Source organism: Homo sapiens, chromosome 3 (genome assembly GCF_000001405.40).
Source record: "Homo sapiens chromosome 3, GRCh38.p14 Primary Assembly".
Lineage (NCBI taxonomy): Eukaryota > Metazoa > Chordata > Mammalia > Primates > Hominidae > Homo > Homo sapiens.
This window is the reverse complement of record NC_000003.12, coordinates 124239547-124263570: the sequence shown is the minus strand read 5'-3', so window position 1 is coordinate 124263570 and position 24024 is coordinate 124239547. Positions and strand designations below refer to the sequence as shown.

Here is a 24024-nt window from a genome sequence, read left to right as displayed (position 1 = left end):
TGTGCACTGGCTGGAGTGCAGTGGCTATTCTCAGGCACAATCACAGTGCACTACAGTCTCAAAACTCCTGGCTTCAAATGATCCCCCTGCCTCAGCCTTCCAGGTAGCTGTGACTACAGGCTTGCGCCACCATGCCCAGCTTTGTGGTTTAAAATGTAAGTCAGCTTAAAAAATCAGATCGCTGAGTCATGCTGATCACTCAGAGAGAGCCAAGAGTGGAACTGACTGGAATGGAAGATGCAGACCAGTTGTTTCATGTATTTCCATTGTAAGAGTCACAGTGTGAAATGCACGTATCAGGATGTTGAGGGACGATGGGGGAGGAGTGACTCTTGAAATCAAGGCAAGATGAAGTGACAGTGACCATCTTGAAAACCAAGACATAAGCAGGCTAAATAAATCAAGATGTTGCTATATAACTTAGTAGCAAAGTTTATTTAAACATTTGAACTTTGACTATAACTCCTGAGAATAGGAAGAAAAAAAACGAAGGTCAGAATAGTTATAACATCTCAGTTTGGAAGAAAGTCTATGTTTGGGTAGTTAGGGGTCTTTCCTTCTCTTATGTTTTTAAAGCCAATCCGTTTATTTTATAATTCAAAATAGACATTGGTTACTTCACATTTTAAAATATAAATACCAGCATAGTATTTCCTTAGGGTCTTTCACTTAATTTCCCATTTCCCAGACTGCACTTGTTTAAACCACTATGTATGTTACCTGACCCACATATGTGCCTACCACATATCAGTTGCTTACAGCTGCTGGCAGTAAGGCCACAGAAGGATTCAGGTCACAAAAAGAAATAAAAACCTTTTTGGGGGGCTTTATTCTTAAATTTCAACCAGTGATGAGATTGTTACAGCCTCATTAAGAGACCACAGCTCTTGACTATGTGAGTGTCTCAAGCACAAGGCAGCTTACTTAGGCCTCCCTGGTACATAGAAAAGTCCCCAGGAGAGGCGACTCTCTCCAGCATGAGAGAAAGGATGAGTATTCTCCCCAATCCTGCATCCCAAAGGAAAGGAGTTGCCTCTTCTTCCCTGACACTTATTGAAACAATGAGTGGCCGAAGCTTTCCATAAATAATTTTGTCTATCTTCTTGTCTTAAAGCAATGTGACTTTTTCTCCAAATTACAGGATTTCTTTCCCATTATAAGAGAAACACCTGATAATTACACAAAAGTTGAAGTAGTCAAAGATCCATGCAAGAGATGCTAATGGTAGGACTTTATAACACCCAGGCCTATTTCCTTTCCACCTTTTCTGTGCGTAGAGTTTTCATATCATATACTGTTCTACTTTTCACTGTAACGTAGTTTTTTCTCATGTCTAAAATTTCTTCCAATCTGTTGCATTTAGTGATAGTCCATCTTATGCCTATACCATAACTTATTTGATCATTCTCATGATTGTTTTACAGAAAGGTATGTCAACTTACATGTCCACCAGCAGTGTATGACAGTACCACCCCCTTCCTGTATCCTCACCAGCACTGGTCATAGAATTTTTAAAATCTTTGCCCGTTTTATTAAAAAATATATTATATTATATTTAAATTTGCATTTCTTTGATTACTAGTTATTGCTTTTTGGCCTGTAAATATTTCTTCTGTGAATTACCTGATCAGCTCTTTTGTCCATCTTTCTATCAGGGATTAGTGGCTTTCTATTGGGATTTAGGAGTTTTCTCACTGAGCATCATTTAGTTTAGCTTAACTTATATTTGTTGCATGCCCAACTATGTCAGGTTCGGCAACGTTAACTGTGGGTCTTGCCTTTCCTTAGAGATGATTGTCTTCCTTATTTTCCTGCTCCTCAGACTCCATCTCTGTTGCTGTAATTATGCTGACCTGAGAATTCTTTGTCCCTAACAACAAATATTCTGTGTTGCTACCAAGAGCTGGAGGTCAACAATCCCAGCATCCAAAGCTGGTGGTCAGTAGCAGGTTATGCCCTGTTAACTAATCATTTCTGACAACTAAGAGTAGAAATTAGGTCCTAATATTCCGTAGGAGGTTCTCAATAACTCAGGAGATGGAGAAAGAGGCCCAGGAGCTGAGTGCTGTGACCTAATCTAATTGGCATCTTTCTGTGAAAACAGGCTAATCTTCCAAGGTGCTTTGTGTGTTTGGTTTCAAGTAAGGGGCATAGCTGGGAAAGGGGAAACGACTATTTCATTGTGTGCTCATTCTGTGCTGGGGCTATAGTTCAGTATTTGCCATACATCATTTCATTATATCCTAACAATAACTTCATAAACTAGGTATGGTTATCTCCATGTGACAGAAGATGAAATGGAGGCATAAAATTTGCCTAAGATCACATAACTAGTAAGTGGCTAAGCGAAAATTCAAAACCAGGACTGTTGACTTGAAAACCCAAGCTCAGGCTGGCTCACGCATATAATCCCAGCACTTTGGGAGGCTGAGGCGGGCAGATCACTTGAGGTCAGAAGTTCGAGACCAGCCTGGCCGGCGTGGTGAAACTCCATCTCTACTCAAAAATACAAAAAAAAAAAAAAGAAAACCCAAGCTCAGGTTACTATATCATACTATAACCCACCACACTGACACTATGTGTGGGTGTTTTTGTTTGGGGACAGGAGTTGGGGGTCAGAGATGAGGGGATTAAGTTAGGGGACTCAGAGGAGACGGGATAAATTAGGGCAAGGAGTCTAAGTGAATGATCTCCCTTCTGGAGTCTGTGAAAAACCACAAAGTCAGAGAAGCAAAAGAGCATGGCATATTGAGAAAGTTCAAGTGATTAACTCTGGTTCAGGCCTTTGAATGCAAGAGAGTGCAGCTCTGAGTGCCTTGGAGAGTCCCATTCTGGGCTCTGTCCCTCTTTTTGCACACCCCACCCCCTCCACCCCAGGAGCCAAGATGACTCACCCACATACAGTCTGTGCTGCACATCCCTCTTCCCCTTCTAGGCCAAGCTCCTAGTATCTGAAACCCTAATACTCTCCGCCCAAAGGACCCTTAGCCTACTTCCTGGGCCCATGGGTATCTCTTTCCAGGGTCCAATTCCCAAGGGCAAGTAACACCACCATTATGTGTACCCCTAAGCCTGAGGGGTGGCAAAGGGCTGCTATTTGCAAGGATGTGGCTAGAATATAAATGTGTGAGCTGGGGTGTTCACTTGAATGCATGAGGTCCCCCTGCCATGTAGGGCTGAGCTAGGGAGTGGAGAGAGAAGGCAGGCAGAGCATGAGTGGAGGCTGGTCTACTGTGCTGCCACATTTGGGCCTGGGAGCTCAAAGGAGTCCAACAAATCTAAATTTAAATTTGGCCTCCTAGGTTGCTGTGAAGATATATTTGTCAAGGTAGAAGGACAGAACATGTTTTATTTAACAGTTTGTTAGCTTGCTACATTAATTTCACATATTCAGACAAAGGGTATGTGAGCTTCCATTTGTACTCTTGCCCTAGGCACCACAATGTTAGAATCAGGCCTTGCAAGAGACGAGACTGGAGTGGATGCAGGCTTCAAATCAGAATGCACCTCATATGGCAAGGCAGGAGCAGTGGATTTGTCCTAAAGGCACTGAAGGGTAAGATTCAGAGAAGGAACATGATCAGGTGATTCAGACAGATTACCCTCCAACTGTGCAGAAGGAGGGTAAACTGGGGTCAGCCCAAAGGAGTGTGTAAGAGTAGAAGAAGGGTCTTTGCTAAAATGACTCTTCAAGGAAGTCTTCCATGGACAACCCTATTTAAACCTGTAACTGTCACCCGGCACTCTTTATACCCCTTCTCTTTATTTTTCTCCTTAGCACTTATTACCATCTGGATAATATGTTTTACTTATTTACTGTCCATCTTCCCTCACTGGAAAGTAACCTCAGTAAGGGCAGGAAGTTTTTATTCATTTCACTGTTGAATGTTCAGTGCCTACTACAGTGCCTGGTGCAAACAAGGAAGGGGAGGCAGCAGCTAAGGGTATGAAAACTAGAACCAGCTTCCTAGGCCTGAATACTGGCCCCATCATTTACTTACTGTGGAACCCCTCTGTGCCTCAGTTCCCACAATGTAAAATGTGAATAATAATTACAGGGTTGTCTTAAAGCCTAATAGACATAAATCACTTAGGATGGTGCCATACACAGACTGTTCTGTGTAAGTCTAAGCTGCCATAGGAGATGTCACTGGTGTCCACCCAGGGTCCCTTTACTAACCACTATGCCTTTTCTCCAGTTCCAAGAGTTTTGGAGCTATCAGCTGATGCCTGTAACCATCTCTGAATACTTGCTTTAGCTGATGCCTACGCTTCTCCAAGAGAAACCTGGGCAGTTATACTCCCACACCAGGGCTAGCAAGTGCCTGTCTGGTACAGGTATGTCAGAGCCTAGCTCCTTTACCTCATTGCAGAGTAACTCTGAAGTGTGATGCATTTTCACCGCCTCCCCAGTCTCCCCAGAAGGCTCCAGCTAGACTTCACCTGAAGTCTTCACCTATCCTTAGTTGGTTTTTCCCCTTTCCTAACTCTGCTTCTTTCAGTCTCTTACAAGTTTTTCCTGAATAGCAGACCCTTAATAAATCATTTGTATCCAAATCCCTGTCATATTAAACACAGTCTAAGACAGTTATTTTTATTACAGTGTTATGAATAATAATGTAAATATAAATTGTATACAGTTGGCCCTCCATATCTGTGGGTTCCACATCCATGTACTCAACCATCCTTGATGGAAAATACGTACAGCCACCTCTCTGAATCAGCAGGTCTCAAACTTTGGTTGGTTGAATCTGCCAATGTGAAACCAGCAGATTTAGAGGGCCAATTGTATATTTCATACATATATGAAATTCTGAAGGCAATTTGATATATGGTCTGGAAGTTAAAAGAGAAATCTGGTGTGGAAATTTTTATTCAGGAGTCACACAGTGCCTGGCACATAGTAGGTGTTCAAGAACATTTGCTGAATGAATAGATCCCCGAATGGGTGGTAGCTGATGTGCACACAAGTGGGTGAGATCCCCCAGCAAAATCCAGGAAGAGGAAAAGAACCATCTTCTGAGTCAAGAATAGAATTGACAGGAATATCAGTGTTTAAGAGGTGGGAGAAGGAAGTAGATGACCCTGAGGAAAAAATGAAGAGGTTAGAGAGAACCAGGAGAGGAATGACGTCAAAGAAATAAGGGAGGAGAGGATTGCAAGGAGGAACCACAGTGTCAAATGCTGCAGAGAGACTGGTCATTCACTAAGAGCAGAACTATTGTACTTAGCAACCAAGAGGCCACGGTCTCTTGAGTCAGGGAAATTTCAGTGGGGTGCTGGGGCCAGAATAAATGCTGGAGCAAGGAAGCAGTCTTCCTGGTTAATCTCTGTAATGATTAGCAGGAAGTGCCACAGACATCAGAGGCTGCTTGTGGTGCACTTCCACCCCCTGGCTCTGTCTCCCCAACCCCAGCAGTGGCCAGAGTCTGCATGGTGCTCTCTGGCCAACCAACTCCCGCAGCTGCTCCCCAGCCTGCCCTCTTCCCCAAGGCTGTTCTCTCATTCACTGTGCTCAAATGACAGCAGTTTGAGCAGACCCGTTTACAGTGGAACATAACTAACAGGTAGCCTGCTTTTTTTCCTTTAGGTGATTTACCTTTTAAAAGATATTTATTAGCCCAAATCAAACTTTCAAGGGCAGAAGTTTGCATTGTGTATGGTGAGGACGGGGGCATAGGAGGGTGAAGTTTGGAGCAGCAGACTTTTATATCCTTATTTTTTATTTAAAAATATTTTTCAAAGCAGACTTTTAAATCCCCTCAGGAGGGGAAAGAACAGTGGGTGACCCCCTTCCTGTTCCCACACCTGCTACTTGAGAGGGAGAAGGCAGCCACTGCCCTGTCTCCCCTGTGCTCACCCTGCCCTATAGTTTCCCATCTGGGCCATGGGTCCCCTGAGGCCCCCTTGGCCAGGTTCTCACCCTTTGTGATAAATTACAATCCCTTCAAACTGAGCTGTGTTCTGTTTCATAGACTCTCCAGGGCTCTTGGGCCCAGAAGTCATAAATGTATACCAAATGACTGGATGATTGATCAGCTGTTTCTTGTACCATTTCCTCTTTTGTTCATTAAATGCCACTGGGGCCGTTTTCACTTAGTAAGCCTGTGCTATCTCAGAAAAGCACTTTCACCACTTTATGCCAATGCTTCTCAAACTTTAGTGACTTTCTTTATCACCTAGAACACTTGTTTAAAAATGCTGATTTGGGGGAAGCCTTCCAGATATTCTGATGAATGTTGGTCTGGGATAAAGCTCAGGATTCTCCCCATAGTGATCCAAGGACAACAGTTAAGCACTCTTAGGTGTGGTTTTTGAGAGTTTAATGATAAAAACTCACTTTGTCTAAATCAGATATTACAATATGCATTTAATAAATAGTAGGTAACACACAAATAGATAGAGTAACAATGAAATAAGTCAGAACAACATCTGCAAGGTGAACAACAACTACACCATACAGAAGCCTGTTGAAAATGTTAGTTTCTCTCTCCATGGCCTCAGGGTCTCTCCAGTGGAGTCATTTATTGCAAGAATAGGCTTGGAAGGATTTCTGCCATTGGAGTAAATGTCTGGTTCTTTTTGCAAAGACTGAGCTCCTCCTCTTGGCCTAATGAGGATTTCCCTAAAGAGCTTGGCAGTTTCCCTCCCCAGTATTGCTGCATGTGCTCAGACACCTACTGAAGATTTGCTTTCCCTGGCTCCCCTCTCTAAGTTGCCATGAAATCACTGCGAGGTTTCTGCTTCTTGTCGTACACCTGACCTGGCAGCCACATCTCAAACTTCTGGGCAAGGCCTGGGTGTCTCTCTAGGTGCATGTTAGGTCCTGCCCACACCTGATGCCCACAGAGTCATCTCCTGACCCACTGGGCTGGCTCCAGGTCTGATAGATCCAGGTGTAGAGGGCTTCTGTGGGTGGGTGGGTGTGTGAGGAATGAATGAATAGGCGTGTCACAACTGATCGTTTTCACTAATGGTAGCCTAGCAGAGATCACAATTTAGCAGCCCACTATTGAAGACAATCCCCCAAAGTGGTTTTATTAGGCACAGTTGTTGTTGTCTGTAAAGTTTTTATGTCTTTGGAGAAGGCTTAAAAACCACTCTTCAAGCCACTCCCCGCTCATTTACAAACTTACACAACCAGTTTGTTGGCCTTTGGATTTGCCTTCTCTGTCTTAGTTGCTACTATTATCCCAGCTCTGTTTCACACTTTAGGAGACTCAATTACCTCCACTTCAGGGGCAGGGGGCAATTAGGGTACCAGTGCCTCAAGCCACAGGTCTCTCTGGACCCAGACAGCAGGGCTGAGCACCTGTCAATGACAACCCCAGGCCAAGCTTTGTCCTACATTACAGTTTGGCCTTAGGGAGACAAATGCCACTTTCTCCCATCTTGACTTCCAATCTCTTCTTCCTGAACTTCTTTCCAGGTTCCTGTCTGAGCAAATCCCAGAGTGTCTCTCTGGATTCTCCCCTGGCCACATGAGTGAACCACCTTGCATACCGCCCATTATCATCTGACCACAGGGTTAAATTCAAATGCTACCTTCTATTCTTTCCTGATCTTTCTTCTACATTATTGCCTGATCATCCTCTGTCAGAGCAATCTCCTCCTCGCTAAAACAGACAACACATTATCCATGCCTCTCTTAATGCATTTATTAGTTTCAATTTTATATTCAGTTTGCCCTCTCATGCCTCTATGCCTTTGTGCTTGCCCACGCCAACCCCATCTTTGCCTGGGTAATTTTTACTCACATTTTTACATTCACAAGCCTCACAAGCCTCTTCTTCCAAGAAGTCTTCTCTTACAGATACATTCCCTCCCCACCCTGCTCCATCTGCACTGGGATAAGGGGCTCTTCCTATGCATTGCCATGACCCTGTGCTTTCCCACGTGGCAACTGTCATGGCTATTGTGGGGTATCTACAGCCAGGCTCTGGTTGACCAATTTCTAGAGCCTTACAGAGATTCATACGGCTTCAAAAGGAGAACCTCATTATGAAGGTGCTTCACAAATAATACAGTGTCACATAAATGCACCATATTATCTATTAGTTCATTAATTTATTCATGCAACATACATTTATTGAGCATTTACTTTGTGGCTGGCCCAGTACCAGGCACCAGGTATATATAAATGTGGACAAGACAGAAACATGAAAGTTTCATTCTAGAAGGAGAGGTGGACACAAGACAATGCTAGATAAAGAGAATAAATGCAAGTTATGATAAGTCTTAAGAACTTCTTAGGACAGCCCACATGAGGAGCAAAGACTGAAACTATAAGAAATAATTTGTTAGGGGAACACTAAAAAAATACTAGAGGCCGGGCACGGTGGCTCATGCCTGTAATCCCAGCACTTGGTGAGGCTGAGGCGGGCAGATCACTTGAGGTCAGGAGTTCAAGACCAGCCTGGCCAACATGGTGAAACCTGTCTCTACTAAAAATACAAAATTAGCTGGGTGTGGTGGCAGGAGACTGTAATCCCAGCTACTCAAGAGGCTGAGGCAGGAGAATTGCTTGAACCCGGGAGGCGGAGGTTGCAGTGAGCTGAGATCGCACCATTGCACTCCAGCCTGGGTAACAAGAGCAAAACTCTGTCTCAAAAAAAAAATATATATATATACTTCAGACAGAGGGAACAGCCTGTGCAAAGGCCCTGAGGAGTCAAACAGCCTGGATGCTGGCTGCTCCTCCACTGCAGCCAGGGGAGGAAGCAGAAATCATGAACTTTGGTAAGGAAGCAGGAGACCAGCAGCTACATCTTGGCTAGCCCTCTAAATCGTGAGGACCTCAAATCTTCCAGCTGAATAGACATATACAATGAGAGCCAAACTACTGAAATTTGGGGCAACTTTTTTTGGTAAAAATGAGACATATTCACATATTAGTGGTAAAAGCTAACTTACCGAACACATGAGGCTCTGTATTAACATTTATATACATTATCTTATGAATTCCTCAGATGAAACTCATAAGTAGCTGCTATTTATTATCCTGCCCTACCGTTAAGAAAACTGAGGCTCAGAGAAGTTGCTTACAGTCACAAGGAAAGGGTAAAATCAGGATTTGAATCTTGTTTTGTTTGACTCCAGTATTTGTGCATAAAACTACAATTTTTTTTTTTTTTTTTTTTTTTTTTTTGCTTCATAGATGCATAGAACACTTGATCTTGAAGAAACATTCATGCTTCTTCTTGCTAGCTCCTCCTGTTAGAACTGAGGGTAGAAAGTTTCAGAGGTGGGAAGTGACTTGCTCTAGGTCACACAGTCTGCTGGATATCTTAGCCATTTGGGCCAGGCATCTAGTTGTCAACTGCCTTACTCCAGGTCTTTTATAAAACCATGAGAACTCTGGAAGTGACAGGAAGAAAAATCCTCCCTTGAAGAAGCAAACATCAAATAATCTGGCTTGGAGGCCCAGGGTATCCTGTGTGAGTACTAAAACCCCTAACTCAGGAATAAGGACCATCCTCCTCATGGTTTCCACTGTGCTCTGGCAGCAGAGAAATGGCCTGACCCTGTTTGCCCCCACTCATGTGATGCCACCTGAGATCTACCCCATTTCTATGAATGTCTGGCAGATTCCCACTTAAAACAGCTGCTGGAATAAAGATCACATTGATCCATTCTGATGGCAGGTGGGGAAGCAGAGACCCATAACAAGCACCACTCCAGCAGACCAGTCAGGGGGATGAAGATTTCTGCTTACCTCCTTAGTGTGTGCTGCTGGGGGCTGGTTCCTTTGGCCTGGGTGTGTGTTTCAGGGTATCAGCAGTGTGAAGATGTCAGAATCCTAGTGTGAGGACCAGGAATCCCTAGTGCTTGGGCTGTGATGGAGCACAATTAACCTTCAAATAAGACCTATTCACTAGGATGTCCAGGGAAGGTGACAAACTGAACACGGGTAGAGAGCTAGCCTGGTCACTGAGGAGTGGCTGACAGAGAAGAAGGACAAGGCAAGCTAAGAGTTCCTCATTTAATGAGGGTGGCACTGGCCCTGCCATAGCACAGCTTTGGTCCTACAGGGCTGACAGTGCAGGATGACTTGGAGGAATGATCGGGAGGAGTCTTATCCATGATGCCTGGGCAGCCTTTAGTACCTGCAGACCGTTCACCATAGGCAGACAGAAACCAGAAAAGGGAGGAAGAAAAAGTAGCCCCAAGTAAGTATCCACTTCACACTTTCTCCCAGAACTGTGCTGCACCCATGTCTACCCTAAATCATTACATAAACTGAGTTCTTCCAAATTTGAGGAGAAAGAAAGGTTCCTGGAGTTCTGTAGAGAAAACAATTCTCCTGACCCATTTGTGCCAGAATTCTCAAGCCATTCAGACATGTGGAGAGTCTCTGGCTGTGGGATCTAGACTTTGTTCAAACTTTTGCCCATTACTTGATCTATGTTAAGCTGCTTTCTGCTCCTCAGGGCTATTCTAACTGCCTCTGTACTTCTGCTGATTGCCCCAAGCCACACCCACTTTCTGAAACACCAGAGATCAGCAGGTGTTAAAGAAAAGTGTTAAAGACACATTATCACCTGCTTTAAGTTCTCTAATTGGTATAATCAGAAGTAGTAAAGAGAATATTGGATGAGACAGTGTCTTACAGAGAATGAGCCGCTCTCTAGGAATGGGTTTTGAATGAATGTTTGCTCCCACAGACAGTTCTCAAACTGGTCCTTTAAAATGGGGAGGCCTCCTGGATGGCTGGGTATCCAGAAGGCAGGAGAGAGGTGGTGGGGCTCCCTGTGCTGCTCATGCGCTCTCTCCGCTGGGTCATGGGTGACTGTTCTCCACCAGCTGTCTTTCTGTCAAGCTGTAATCCAGCTGCCAAAAGACCTCCTCAGAATCTACGTTAATTCATCCAGAGGTTTTTGTTGTTGTTTGTACTGGAAGTCACCCTCTGGCCTCTTACCCAGGTTATTATTCCAAAGAGTTAGTGTCTTTTCTACCCATTTAACAACACATCTTTTGCCTCTGCACATCTGATTTGTGATGCCAGGGCTAGTGGGGGCAGTGGGGTGGTGCAAAGGTAGTATCTTATCCTAAATCTAAGTTTCAAGTCCTCCTCTATAAAGTGGTTTGACTCAGTATCTGTGCATAAAACTGCCATGCTATCTTGCCTCATAGATGCGTAGAACACTTGATCTTGAGGAAACATTCATGCTTCTTCTTGCTAGCTCCTCCTGTTAGAACTGAGGGTAGCAAGTTTCAGAGGCGGGAAGTGACTTGCTTTAGGTCACACAGTCGGCTGGATATCTTAGCCGTTTGGACCAGGCATCTAACTGTCAACTGCCTTATTCCAGGTCTATAAAGTGAGGAGATTCTGACTAATTGGTCTGGGGTTGGACTCGATCATTTTTAAAAGTTCCCCCTGGTGATTCTAATGTGCAGCCATGGTTAAGTACCACTGAAGGCAAAGTTGTAGAGATTTGTTTGCCTATTTCTAGGTCTAGGAACTACTCCTTGTCAGTTCCTCACCCTCAAGTGTGCCAGAAGCAAACCCAACTCTTGCCCATCAGAGTCCCAGGGAAACCCTAACTGCAGACCAAATGAGGAAGGTTGATAGTTTCCACCTTTTTAAAGTCTGCTACCTAATTCTACACAAATAATACTATTAAAAAACAAAACAAAACAAAAACAAAAAGACCTCTCATTGCAAACACCTGGAACAGGGATGTGGTGGTTTCTCTTTTTCTCTTCCAGGCAGAGTGTGGTAAAGTATTCAATAGCACAGACTCAGGTCCCAGGGTCACACCCAACATTCCCAGGTATAGCCATAAAGTGACAGGTCCAGAGGCCTAAAATCACTCAGCGGGATCTCTGCATCCAAATCCCAACTTGTCTTCAATGCTGCCTTTAAACAAAATATTCTACAAATCAAGTCCTCTCAAAAAGAACAAAGACAGTGGCTCACGCCTGTAATCCCAGCACTTTGGAAGGCTGCAACAGGCGACTTGCTTGAGCTCAGGGGTTCGAGACCAGCCTGGGCAAGATGTTGGAACCACGTCTCTACAAAAAAATACCAAAAGTAGCTGGGCAAGGTGGCGCATGCCTGTAGTCCCAGCTACTAGGGAGGCTGAGGTGGGAGGATAGCTTGAGCCCAGAAGGTGGAGGTGGCAGTAAGCCAAATTGCACTACTGCACTCCAGTCTGGGCAACAGAGCCAGACCCTGTCTCAAAAAAAAAGAAAAAAAGAAAAAAAAAAAAAAAGCAAAGACTTGCCATGCCACGCCGCAAACAGTCAAAAGAGCATCCCACAGCTGAAGGGAGCTCCCAAAGAGAGCTCCGGGAATGGCGGGGGTGACAGCAGGATCAGGCAAATGCACGCAGTCTTCCAAAGGATGTACACCTTGGAGGGACCAGCATGAGGCAGCTGCATAAACCCTGATGGGTTTGTCAATCAGTAAGGTCATTTTACAGCCTTACAGGCTCTGAAACACAACTCCTGTTCACCAAAGGAAGAGACCCACTTTCTGAATCAGAGTGGCTTGGGAGCACAGCATTTGTTTGGAAGGAGCTACTCTTAGCCAAGAGAAGACATGAAAACTGTGAAAGCACAAGAACCATTGCTCCTAGAGTCTGGTCTAGCTGGCTAGGGAGAGAAGGTGGCAAAGGGGTGGGTTCAGATGGGAGTGGGATGGAAACTGACATCCATTTCAGGACAGCAGCTTCCTGCCCTATTTCCCACCCTCCCTCACAGAGCTGTTCATCCCTTCCTTCTGGGCCATTCAGAACATGCAGCAGAAATGAAATGGAAACCAAAGCACTACAGGGAAAGAAAGAACTGGAAACCAAAACCCACATAGCCCTCCCATTTTCCGCAGCCCTCCTCAGACAACCCCCAAGGTACTCTCTTCTGGCCTTCTCTACCCTCTCCTTCTTTCCCGCTCCCCACTCCCCTTAGTCAGGCTATATGAAAAACAATTCATCTTTTAACTTTAAAAAATATCATTATGATCATAGCACATATATCTGTGACAAAGACTGTGACCTGTCTAAGCACAGTGCCTCAGCCACCCCACTGTAAGACACAAGGAGCCTTTCTAAAACGTGGAGTAAGAGAAGAGAGCTGAGGGGACTCAAGAGAAATGGCAACAGTGCAGCCATGGGCTGCCTCCCACTCAGGTGCTGCACCCGACCTGTCCAGGAGACAGAGCAGCAACTCTCCCAGGCTTGGCCTACTACCATGCCATCACCACTCCTCATTCTCTTGTCACACCCCCACCTCTCCCTGCCCTCTCACAGGAACCCCCACACACTCTCCAGCTGGGCTCTGGTTTCCTGGCAGGCCAGGTGGAATCCTCATTAATAAACCACATGTTTCCTCCAGGAAACAGTCCTTGCTGTGGCTTGCACACACCTCCTCTCCTTCCCTCCTCCTCTTTCTCCTTAAGTAGCAGTCACATTCTTGAAAGCCCAGTGCTCTTTGCCTGCAGCACGCAGACACATGCACAACCATCCCCACCAACACACAATGCAACACGCCACACAAAGCCACCCCCCCCAGGCCATGCCCACTGGGTTTTACCAACCAGTGCAGGAGCTCTATTTCCTGCAGGGCAGGCGGCTGTTACCCTCTAGCTAGCCTGCCTTCCCTCTGACACACAGCCAGGGTTGCCCTGGCAGAGGGGACTGATGAGATCCCCATGGTTTACATGGAGGAAAAACCTTGTGATGGCTCAGACACTAGTGGGAACCTGGGAATTACAAGGGAGGTCAAAGAGCTGGAGTCGGGGAGCCCTGTGGGAGGTGAAGGCTTGCATGTTTGGATCTTGAAATGGAACAGGGAGGACCAAGGGCTCCAGGTCTTTGCTCCAAATCAGAATAAACTAGGCTGCCCCCATGCATAACTAGCTCAGAAGCTCAGGAAGCTCACATATAGGGTGGAAGAATCCCTCCACATATGACTTCATAGAGGCCCTTATCCTGTGCATGCTGCTCTAGGCACCCTGCTGTCCCACAGGCAGGGTCTATGTTAGGGGGCAGTGTATGTATGATTGCAGCAAGCTCAGGACTGGTACCCTAGCCAGCTGGAGGACCCTGAGCCCATGACTGGACCCCTTTAGACAGCATTCTACTCTTTTTAAAAGAAAGAGTTGGCCTGGCAGACCTCTACAGCTTCTTCCTGCCTTTAAGCTCCAGAATTCCAATTCATCTATTTCCTTTACAATCCAGGTCAGATTTTTACCACCAGTAAATTATGTCTGATTACGTCCATTTAACTGACATGCTTGTGTGGCTGCTGCCTTGGAAGCTTTCAGTTTTTGTCTTCTCCTGTGGATTCTGAAACCTTAACCAGACCACAAACCTCCTGAAGGCAAGAACTGGGTCCCTCCCCCATTCCCCACCCCATTAATCTGCAAATTCAGCCAAGAGATCATTTGACCATTCCCTCTGAGTTTGTGTGTATGTAAGAACTAAACAAGTGTCCTGTGTATCCACAGAATTAAATCTGAACCAATGTGCAATCTTCCCAATGCAGCACTCCTTCATAGTCAGAGCTGCAAGAGGGTGAGGAATGGTCTTGCTTTCCTCCAAGTTCAAAACAGGGAGTTTCTCTTCAGCCAATGAGGGTGAAGCCTGAATTTCCTGCAAAGGAAAACAGCTTATGGTCTGGAGATCCAGGACATTCTCTTCCTGTGTAGGGAACCAGGGTGGAGTGCATCACAGGACAAGGTTCAGACCTTGTCTCAGGCACCAGGCCAAAACCTGGCACATGCATTACTAGCGATGGAAACAGATAAAATTCCAGCTCCGGACAGAACAGTCTGGGAGATGCAAGGGAGAAAAATGTACTGATTTTAGAGTTTTTTAGTAGCTCTCAAAACCAAGGCTGGTCCTCACTTGACCTAGAACAAATGGGAAATGCAGAGAGGAAGGAGGCTCTGAGAGAAAAGGAAAGAGGGGCCAGGGCCATCAGGACACATGCTTGAATTACGTCAGTAAATTATCCGAAAAACATTCATCCTTGCTGAGTCACCATGGCTGACAAAGTGCTCCCATCTAAGTTCCAGGAGAAATGGGGCTGGCTGTCATACTTGCTTAATTTAGAAACAAGAATATAGCTCCTTGGTGAGACTGAGTCCACTGCTAGTTCCCTCGCAGGTACATCCATGCTCCGTCCCCTGGCAGAAGGCTCTGCCCCACTCTGCCACAGTGCCAGTCCACCCACCTCTGGCCTGGGTAACCCCCTGTGGTCACAGCCCCGGACAGAGGAAAGAGAACCTCCTGAAGGAAACCTCAGTCTGGCCTCAGGTACTTCATGTCTGAAATAGAGATCCCGGCATTGGCCCTAAGGAGTATGGGGGGGGTGAAGCCCTCTCCTTTTTCCTTGGGGAGCCTCCAGTCTAATTGAATTCAGCCAGTTTGCAAGGTGGTGCTCCACACCCTCAGGGGCAAGAAACAAAACCAACCATTCCAACCTGCAAGAGGTTCACCACCTATCAGAGAGAAAGTTGTGTGGTTTCTCTCAGGACACTCAGATCTCATAGAAGGGATGGGACTCACCCCCATTATATGAGTTTTCCAGATTCAAAAATCTTTAAATGCTGTTCAAATCACTTGTTTTGTTTAGGTAATGCTGGACTTTTGAGAACAAAATTCTGAATAAATCTTTTTTTCTAAAGCAATCTAAGAAAACATGAGATGGGGTGGAGAAGGCGAGGGGGAGACTTTTTTTTTTCAATACAAGTGACAGAGGCAAACTGGTACAGAAATCTTCTGCAACTGATGAGTGCCTACACCCAAGCTAAATTCTCTGCAACAGAAACCCTAGATAGTTTTGTTTTTCTTGTACTCATCTTCCATGTTGAGAGAAAGAAAATATTGTCTGGAAAGGAAGGTCTGAAAAGACAAATTATCTTCAATGTTTTATCTTCAATGTTTGTGGCTGATGAAAAAGGTCAGGGGGACAGTGGGAGCTCCAAGAGATAAGTTCGCTTGGGGCACTGCAACTTCAGATCTACCAAAGATGAAGGCAAAACCAACAGGAATGTTTTTTGTTAGTGTTTTAGTTTTTTTAAATTTGATTTTATTTTAAAAAGAATTATTATAGAAACACCACACTATTTATATCCCCAAAATAGCATTATTATAAAATTCCCAGTTTCAACATAGCAGGTGAAACATTTTCACAAACATTATTTTATCTATCATTTACTACAGTTCTTTGAGAAAGATTGTATCAAACTCACTTGTAGTTGAAGAAGAGTAATCCTTGCTTATTGGTTGCTTAAATTTCAGTGTTTCAATAAAATTTTAAACAGTAAAGCTTGGAAAATCCCAGATTTAATGAGGAGAGAACCAGAATAGAACCATTGGAGCCTCTGACAAAACCCATCTATGTCTTCTTGGGCAACTGAGCTCAGGTACTCTACCACTTGGTGGCAGCACACCTAAACTGCCAGAAGAGTGTACAATAAAGGCAGTCTCTACAAAACTGAAGTGTCGTAACATAGAGTGTCCGTATCAAATATATGCCTGAAAACATACTCAACCCCAAACATCAGTGAAGGGCACATAATCAGACTTAACCAATGATAAGTAAAGAGAGAAATAGAAAACACAGTGAAAATGATATGTAATGGGGGAAAGAGAAACAGCCCCAAATCTGGATCCCCATAACTGAAAAACACATCCTTTTCCCCAGATGCTAGGCTGTCTCTCCAGCATCTATATTCAGGGAACTCTCTTATTTTCAATATTCCAGCCAAATGAATCCCAGCTAAATTTAACTCATCCTGATTACCTACCACAAACTCCAGAAACACCTGAATGCATTGGATCTTATTTCACCTGACATTGAAGTTGACCTAATCAAGGTGACACCAGACACTTCAGCTTCCTAATCAGCCTGCTCTTGGTGAGCCATAGACAACAGTAGCCTAAAAGAGAAATTAAATGACCACATCTAGGCTTTCCAGGCTCATTCAACATTGCTGCCCAGAAAGGCCTTTCTCCATAAAAGGCAGATAAGGACACCAGTTCTGATAAACACAAAAGAGGTTAACCACTTTAAGCCATGCCAGAACTGACTACACAACCAGCCAAGGAGCTGAAACACATCCAGAGGCAAAACTAAAGAATCACCAAGGGCAAAAAAAAACAAGCAAGCCCTTTTTAGATTTCATATCAGATCCTAACTTTAATGTGCGCTCCCTGTTAAGGGGCCATATTAGTTTAGGAAAGTAAAAGGAATCCTTGCCTGGGAGGCCCTGCAGAGCAGGCCCTGTGACCAATCCCTTTAGTCTTTCCAAAGTCAGGATAAGGTTTAGGTACACAATATATGGCCCTAAGTTAGGGTCATTGATGATGGTGATAAGAATGTTTGCACAATGGTGCCTGGGCAATGGTGAGCAAATAAATTTAGGGAAATGCAAAGAATAGGAAATCTCATTGGAAAACAGTACGGAGGTTTCTCAAAAAGTAAAAATAAAACTACCATATGATCCAGCGATCCCATGTCTAGGTATATGGCCAAAAGAAAGGAAATCATAATGGAGTACTAGTCAGCCAATAAAAAGAATGAGATCTTGTCATTTGCATGACCATGGATGGAACTGAAGGACATTATGTTAAGTGAAATAAGCCAGGCACAGAAAGACAAACATTGCAAGTCATACTGGGAGTATAAATTGATAAATTTGGAAATAAATTTGGTGAGTTGTCCCACCAGCTTTAAAAAAAGGTTCATAAAATAAGTAATCTGATTAAAACATGGGCAAAAGATCCGAATAGACATTTCTCAAAAGAAGATATACAAAATGGCCAACAGGTACATGAAAAACATACTCAACATCACTAATCATCAGTGAAATGCAACTCAAAACCATATAAGATATCATCTCACCTCATTTAGAATGGCTACTAAAAAAAAACAAAAAACAACAACAATGACAAAAAAAAACAGAAAATAACAGATGCTGAGGTGGATGCAGAAAAAGGGAAACACTCATACACTGTTGGTGGGAATGTAAGTTAGTACAGCAACTACAGAAAACAGTACAGAGGTTTCTCAAAAAAATAAATATAAAATTACCGTATGATCCAGCAATCCCACTGCTGGGTATGTAGCCAAAAGAAAGGAAATCTGTGTATCAAAAAGATACCTGCACTCCCATGTTTACTGCAGCACTATTCACAATAGCCAAGACATGGAATCAACCTTACTGTCCATCAACAGATGAATGGATAAAGAAAATGTGATATAAATACACAACGGAGTACTCTTCAGCCATAAAAAGAATGAAATCTTATCATTTGCAGCAACATGGATGGAACTGAAGGACATTATGTTCAGTGAAATAAGCCAGGTACAGAAAGGCAAATATTGTGTGTTCTCACTCATATGTGGGAGCTAGAAAAAAACAACTCACACAGGTAGTAAATACAATGATGATTACCAGACGCTGGGAAGAGAAGGGAGAAGGAACAAAGAGGGTGATTAATAGGTACAAAATACAGTTACATAGAAGGAATAAGATCTAGTGTTTGATAGCACAGTAGAGTGACTCTAGTTAACAATAATTTATAATATATTTCAAAATAGCTATAAGAGAAGATTTGGAATGTTTCCAACAAAAAAAATGATAAATTTCTGAGATGATGGAAATCTCAATGCCTCTGATTTGACCACTGCACATTGTATACATCTATCAAAATATCATATGCACCCTATAAATATGTACATTATGTATCAATTTTTAAAAAGCAAAAAAAAATTATATATGTAACAACTAAAAAAAGCCCATGATTGCTACAGATTTATCTCGAAGAAACCACTTAAGATACAGACAAAGGTTTACATAAAAAGATTTTTACTGAGGGTTACTTACAACACTGAACTTCTGGAAACGACTTAGATGCCCAGTGATATGGTTAATTAAATATGATGCATCCCAAGACACACTATTACACATGAAAAGTTTTTAATGTTATGAAAATATTCCTATAGTATAATGCTAACTGGAATAAAGCAAGCAGCAAAACTGAAGAAACAATACAGTCCATTTCTGTTTTTAAAAAGCTCTAGGCCAGGCGCGGTCGCTCACGCCTGTAATCCTAGCACTTTGGGAGGCTGAGGTGTGTGGATCACTTGAGGTCAGGAGTTCCAGACCAGCCTGCCCAACATAGTGAAACCCCATCTCTACTAAAAATACAAAAATTAGCTGGACGTGTGGTGGGCACTTGTCATCCCAGCTACTTGTGAGGCTGAGGCAAGAGGATCGCTTGAACCAAGGAGGCGGAGGTTGCAGTGAGCCAAGATCACGCCATTGCACTCCAGCCTGGGTGACAAGAGTGAAACTCCGTCTCAAAAAAACAAACCTCTAAAAAAAGATAGGAAGGAAATATGTTAATATATTGTTATTATCTCTAGGTGGTGCAGTTACAAGAGCTTTAAAAAACTCTTAAAATATTTTTTCTGCACTTACTTTCTCCAGTAAAAGAAATATCTTTCTAATTTAAAAATATAGGCCAAAACTTTGTCACACTGTTAGGCACATATATTCATTCATTACGTATTAGAAGTGAAGTGTTACTGACCTATGGCTGTAACTGCTATCACTACTAGCTCTAATCCTAAACTTAAGCATAACCCTAACCCTAACTTTGAAAAAGCAGTGCTAGGGACAATAAAGGACAAGTGACAAAAGAAGGTCCCTACTTTCAAGCAAGGGAAGGGAAAGAAACTGCCAGTTGTTGTCAGCCCCTTCTGTGAGCTAAATAATGGGCTAGGCATTTTACATGTGTTATCTCACAGAATCCTCACTACCATTGTGTTTGGTAATATCTTTATGCCTATTTTATAGGTAAGAAAATTTTTAGCAAGCATGCGCATTTCACCTCCCAGAGGGGAGGATTCTGGGGTTCATTCTTCCTGGACTGGAATACCCTACATAATTTCCAGGTGTCAGCATTTTTCCCTGCAGCCCATTCTTTCTCTGCTATTGTTCCACTCCCACCAAGTCAATGCTGATGCCCAAAGCCCCTTCTGAGAGTATACATGGAATATGCATGTGAAGGAGACTCACTACCCTCACTTATTAGGAATTCTTTTGTCCAGTGCTGGGTGGGTCCTTGATTTATCGCTACAGGCACTTACTGGTTCCTGGAATAACCAGGGCTGCTTCTCATAGTTACTTCATGACCAAGTGGTTTCCGCCTCTGATTGCTCCAGTTATTGTTCTCCAGGGAATCACAAATGTGTCTCTCCGCATTTGAAGCATGATAGCCAGCTCTTCCCCACTCCCTACAACCTGTCCCTGTTCACAGCGTTTCCATGAGCCCCTGTAGTCCCTTAGCCCCACATGGACTGTGCAGGCCCCACAGACCTGCCAAGTCCTACAATGGTGGCATGGCCATGGAAATGAAGGAGCCTCAAAATGTGCATTAACTGAGCACTAATTCCAGAATTGTACTTCTGACACTACAGCAATGCCAATATAGAAACAGACAGGCAGGTGGGTGAAGGAAACATCTCGGACTCAAGGAAAATGAACAAGATGATCATCGCTAGAATACGATAGAGACTACCCCACCAATGTAGGCATTAAGCTCGGGGTCCCTGCTACTGATAGTCTTTCATTAATCTCTTTAAATAGTTTCTATGGTCTTAAGTGCTTTTGTTTTCTCCCTACATCTCTTGGTATAATTTGGTAACTAAATCATGGTTGACTATCACCCACAGATGAGCATAAATGAGAGTTAATGCATCTAAAACTGAACACAAACACCTGGGGGAGGAACTGTGAAGGACCCCAACACCACCACCACCCTCACCACCCCTGTTGTCCTGCATATCCACAGCCACCATGGTTGCCTTGGCCAGCAGAAGCCCAAAACTGAGGTAATTACCACCTGTATTTCTCACCTGCAGCAACCTTCACACTTAGGTTCCAAAGAGAAGCTTCAGGAAAGGAAGTCTGAAGCGTAGTGGTCCCTGCCCACCATTGTTAGATCTCTGTGTTGGTGCCCTTCCCTACCGCCCTCTTCCATTGTCCCTCTGTTCCAAATCCAGTCTTAGCCCATCCTTCAGAGTTCACCTTCTTACTCTCCCCAAATCAGTCCTCTCACTCTGCCACCACTGCCACTTCCTTCACTTTGGCCTCCTCATCTCTTCACTGGATAAAAGCTTAGGCTCTGGTGCTAGACCATCTGGCTCCAGATCATACTGACTGTGTGCCAGTAGGCAAGTACTTCATCTCTCTACGTCTCAGTTTCCTGATATGTAAAAGGGAAATAATGATAATTCCCCTCTCAAAGTGTTGTTGAGAATTAAGTTAATGCATGTAAAATACTTATAACAGTGCCTAGAATTGATTAATAAATGCTAGTTGTTACTTTTACTGTCTTTAAGCCACATTATTGGAACTGTTTCCCCATTGCCTAGCCTTCTCTTCCATTTCATCTTCCACTCAGTTGCCAGAGTGAATCTTCTAAAAGGCAATTTTAATTGTCATTCTCCTGCTGAAAAGCTCTTCAATGGCTTTTTTATTGCCTATTAGTAACTAACTTCTTGAACTAGACCCACAGAATTCTACATGCCTCTCTGCCCTATCCTCTGCCATTCTCCCAAAAGACTATGTGTTTCTACATCTTGAGTTTCTGGAACTTAACCTGACACCCCTTCATCTCCTTTGCCCACCCCCAGTGTTCCTTTGAGCCCTTCCCTCTGACTGGCCCATTCCTACCCCTTCGTGCTTTTAGCAAAATTATCTTGGGGCTTCTAAATGCTGCTCACGTCTCTTTTGAAGTCTCCCCACTCCCAGTCAACAGCGAGGCTGTATGTTCCACATGCTGGAAGGCCAGAGCACTGGGTTCAACCCTCTATTTCATCACTTAACTCAGGGTGCTACCCCACAATTATGCACATGCTAGACTTCCCCAGACCATAGAAGGAGACGCAACCAAATGTTTATGGAATCTACTGTGTACCTGGCACTATGTAAGGACTTGATATACTTTATCTTACTTAATACCAATAATTAATAAATTGAAAAGAATTTTACTTTTTGTTTGATATTGACACAAATTATGATATTTATTCTAAAGTATGGAGAAAAGTAATCATTATTAATTTTCCTTATTTCAGTTAGCTAAGAGAAACTTCTCAAGAGACACTTTAGCACTGCATTAATCTATTAATAATTTGGTTTGGAGTTCTCAGAGTCAAAACCTTAGCTTCTTTTTCACTCTAAATTATGTTTAAAGATTCATCCATGTTGTTGCACATCACAATAGTTCAGAAATGCTAGTCACAGAAAACTACACAATGTACAATACCATTCTTATAAAGCTCAAAAACAAGAAAAGTAAATCATATATTGTTTATGAAAATATGTGCTGAACTATACCTCCCAAAAAGCAAAAGAAGGATAAACATAAAACCCAGGACAGTGTTATTTTTGGGGGAAGTAGGAGAGTCAGAATGGGGAGGAGCCCTAGGTAGCATTGAGGATAGAGGTGATGTTCTGCTTGTCAAATTGGAGGGTAGGCTCTCAAGTGCTCGCTTTATTATTGTGCTTCATAACCTTTACATACACTGCATCTAGTCCCTCATATGTAGCAAATATTGCTATCTATGTATGTTCATATATATTTTTTGTTGCTATTATTATCATTATTACTATTACTGACCTCCTTTAGGGGAAAGACTAACAATTACGAGCACCTGGGTGCTAGAGAGAGCCTGCTAGATAATTCCTCACAATACCCTTATGAGATAGACATTATTTTCCCAAAATAAAAATTAGAATATTAAACTTAGAAATGGTGACTAGCATGCCCAAAGTCTCCCTCTGTGCCAAATATCTTCCATTTGCACCTTGAATCCATTCTGTATCTTCTCTCCACTACCCAGTGCCCTGGGGAGTTGACCTACATGGACTACATCAATGGGCTCCCCTGTCATCTGGCTTCTCGGTACATTCAGTCAATGATGACAGGAGATGAGAGAATGGGAAGAGAGTGGGGTCAAGGTACCAATTCCCCTGCTCCCTGTCATGGAGTCACCATGTGTTGGTGGCATCTTCCACTGAAGGCCACAGTTCCTGTCAGGCAGCCTCTCACAAAGCTCTCCTCTCTCTTAGAAGTGGTAATGTTTCCCCTCCGTGCTGTTTCCAGGCCTGCAATGCCTGAGGGATCCAAACCTTGCTGGTTTCTCTGTTCTCTGCCCACAGCCTTATAAACTGTGTCTTGGTTAAAGTCTTCCCAAATTACCCAGGTTGAGGGGCCATATGTTTCCCAGCTGCAGAAAGGTAGAGCTGGGATCCGAAGCTCAGCATCTTCCATCTAGACTAAGATGCCTCTTCATCCTTTGCTGCAAAAGCTGATATGACTCTAAGGAAGGTGATTACTAACGATTGCAGTTACTACTGTGGCTTTATGTTTCCTAGCAGCATGGTAGAATGCTATTTGCTCTTCAGGGCTGGGGTTACATATAGCCAACAATAGGGACACCTAACTGGTATTGCTGGAAATGTGTGTAAAAAGTATCTTGTTTATACATAGAAATTATAAGCTATTTATACATAGGGTTTAAATTCAAAATGGATAAAGAAATCAACAATGATCTTTAAAAGGTATGTTTTAGGGAAATGTAAACAATGTGACCTAAATGTTCTCATTGGTCCTATTATCTGGCCTTTCCATCACCTGATCCCTCCCCTTCCTCCCCACATCCTCCTTTTATTGATGATCCCAGAGCAAAGAGTAAGGTATCAACAACACATCTCAACAGGCCCTTACAACAGAACATGTTTCATGGCAGTAGTTTGGATAGCTCAGGCTCTCTCACGCAGAAAATAGAGGCAGGAAACCCTTGCAGTTTTTACCCCTCTTCTTTCAGCTGTCTTCCTGGTTCTCTCTGCTTACACCTATTTTCTGGTAATGCTGCACAAAGACAGTGCAGGCCATAAGCCCAACTTATGTTTTGCTGAAATCCGTAGAACAAGAGCAAATGTTATCAAATAATAGGCCACAAGTAAAGGCACCTTGATTTGATTGACATTACAGAATAACT

At 43.5% G+C, this 24024-nt stretch overlaps 1 protein-coding gene across 32 annotated transcripts in view, besides 2 other annotated features; it reads right to left on the bottom strand.

Annotated features, from left to right (window-relative positions):
• Window positions 1-24024, bottom strand: part of KALRN (kalirin RhoGEF kinase) — a 692957-nt gene that overhangs the window by 462755 nt on the left and 206178 nt on the right. The gene's annotated exons all lie outside the window — the stretch shown is intronic.
• Window positions 6017-6076: a silencer, noted in NCBI's record as "silent region_14652". NCBI's record gives its function as "represses an Ori minimal core promoter by ATAC-STARR-seq in GM12878 lymphoblastoid cells {active_cell/tissue: GM12878}" and the evidence as "EXISTENCE:reporter gene assay evidence [ECO:0000049][PMID:35858748]".
• Window positions 14535-15734: an enhancer, noted in NCBI's record as "BRD4-independent group 4 enhancer chr3:123966684-123967883 (GRCh37/hg19 assembly coordinates)". NCBI's record gives its function as "activates an origin of replication core promoter dependent on BRD2, P300/CBP, MED14 and CDK7 cofactors, and independent of BRD4, by STARR-seq in HCT116 cells {active_cell/tissue: HCT116}" and the evidence as "EXISTENCE:reporter gene assay evidence [ECO:0000049][PMID:35650434]".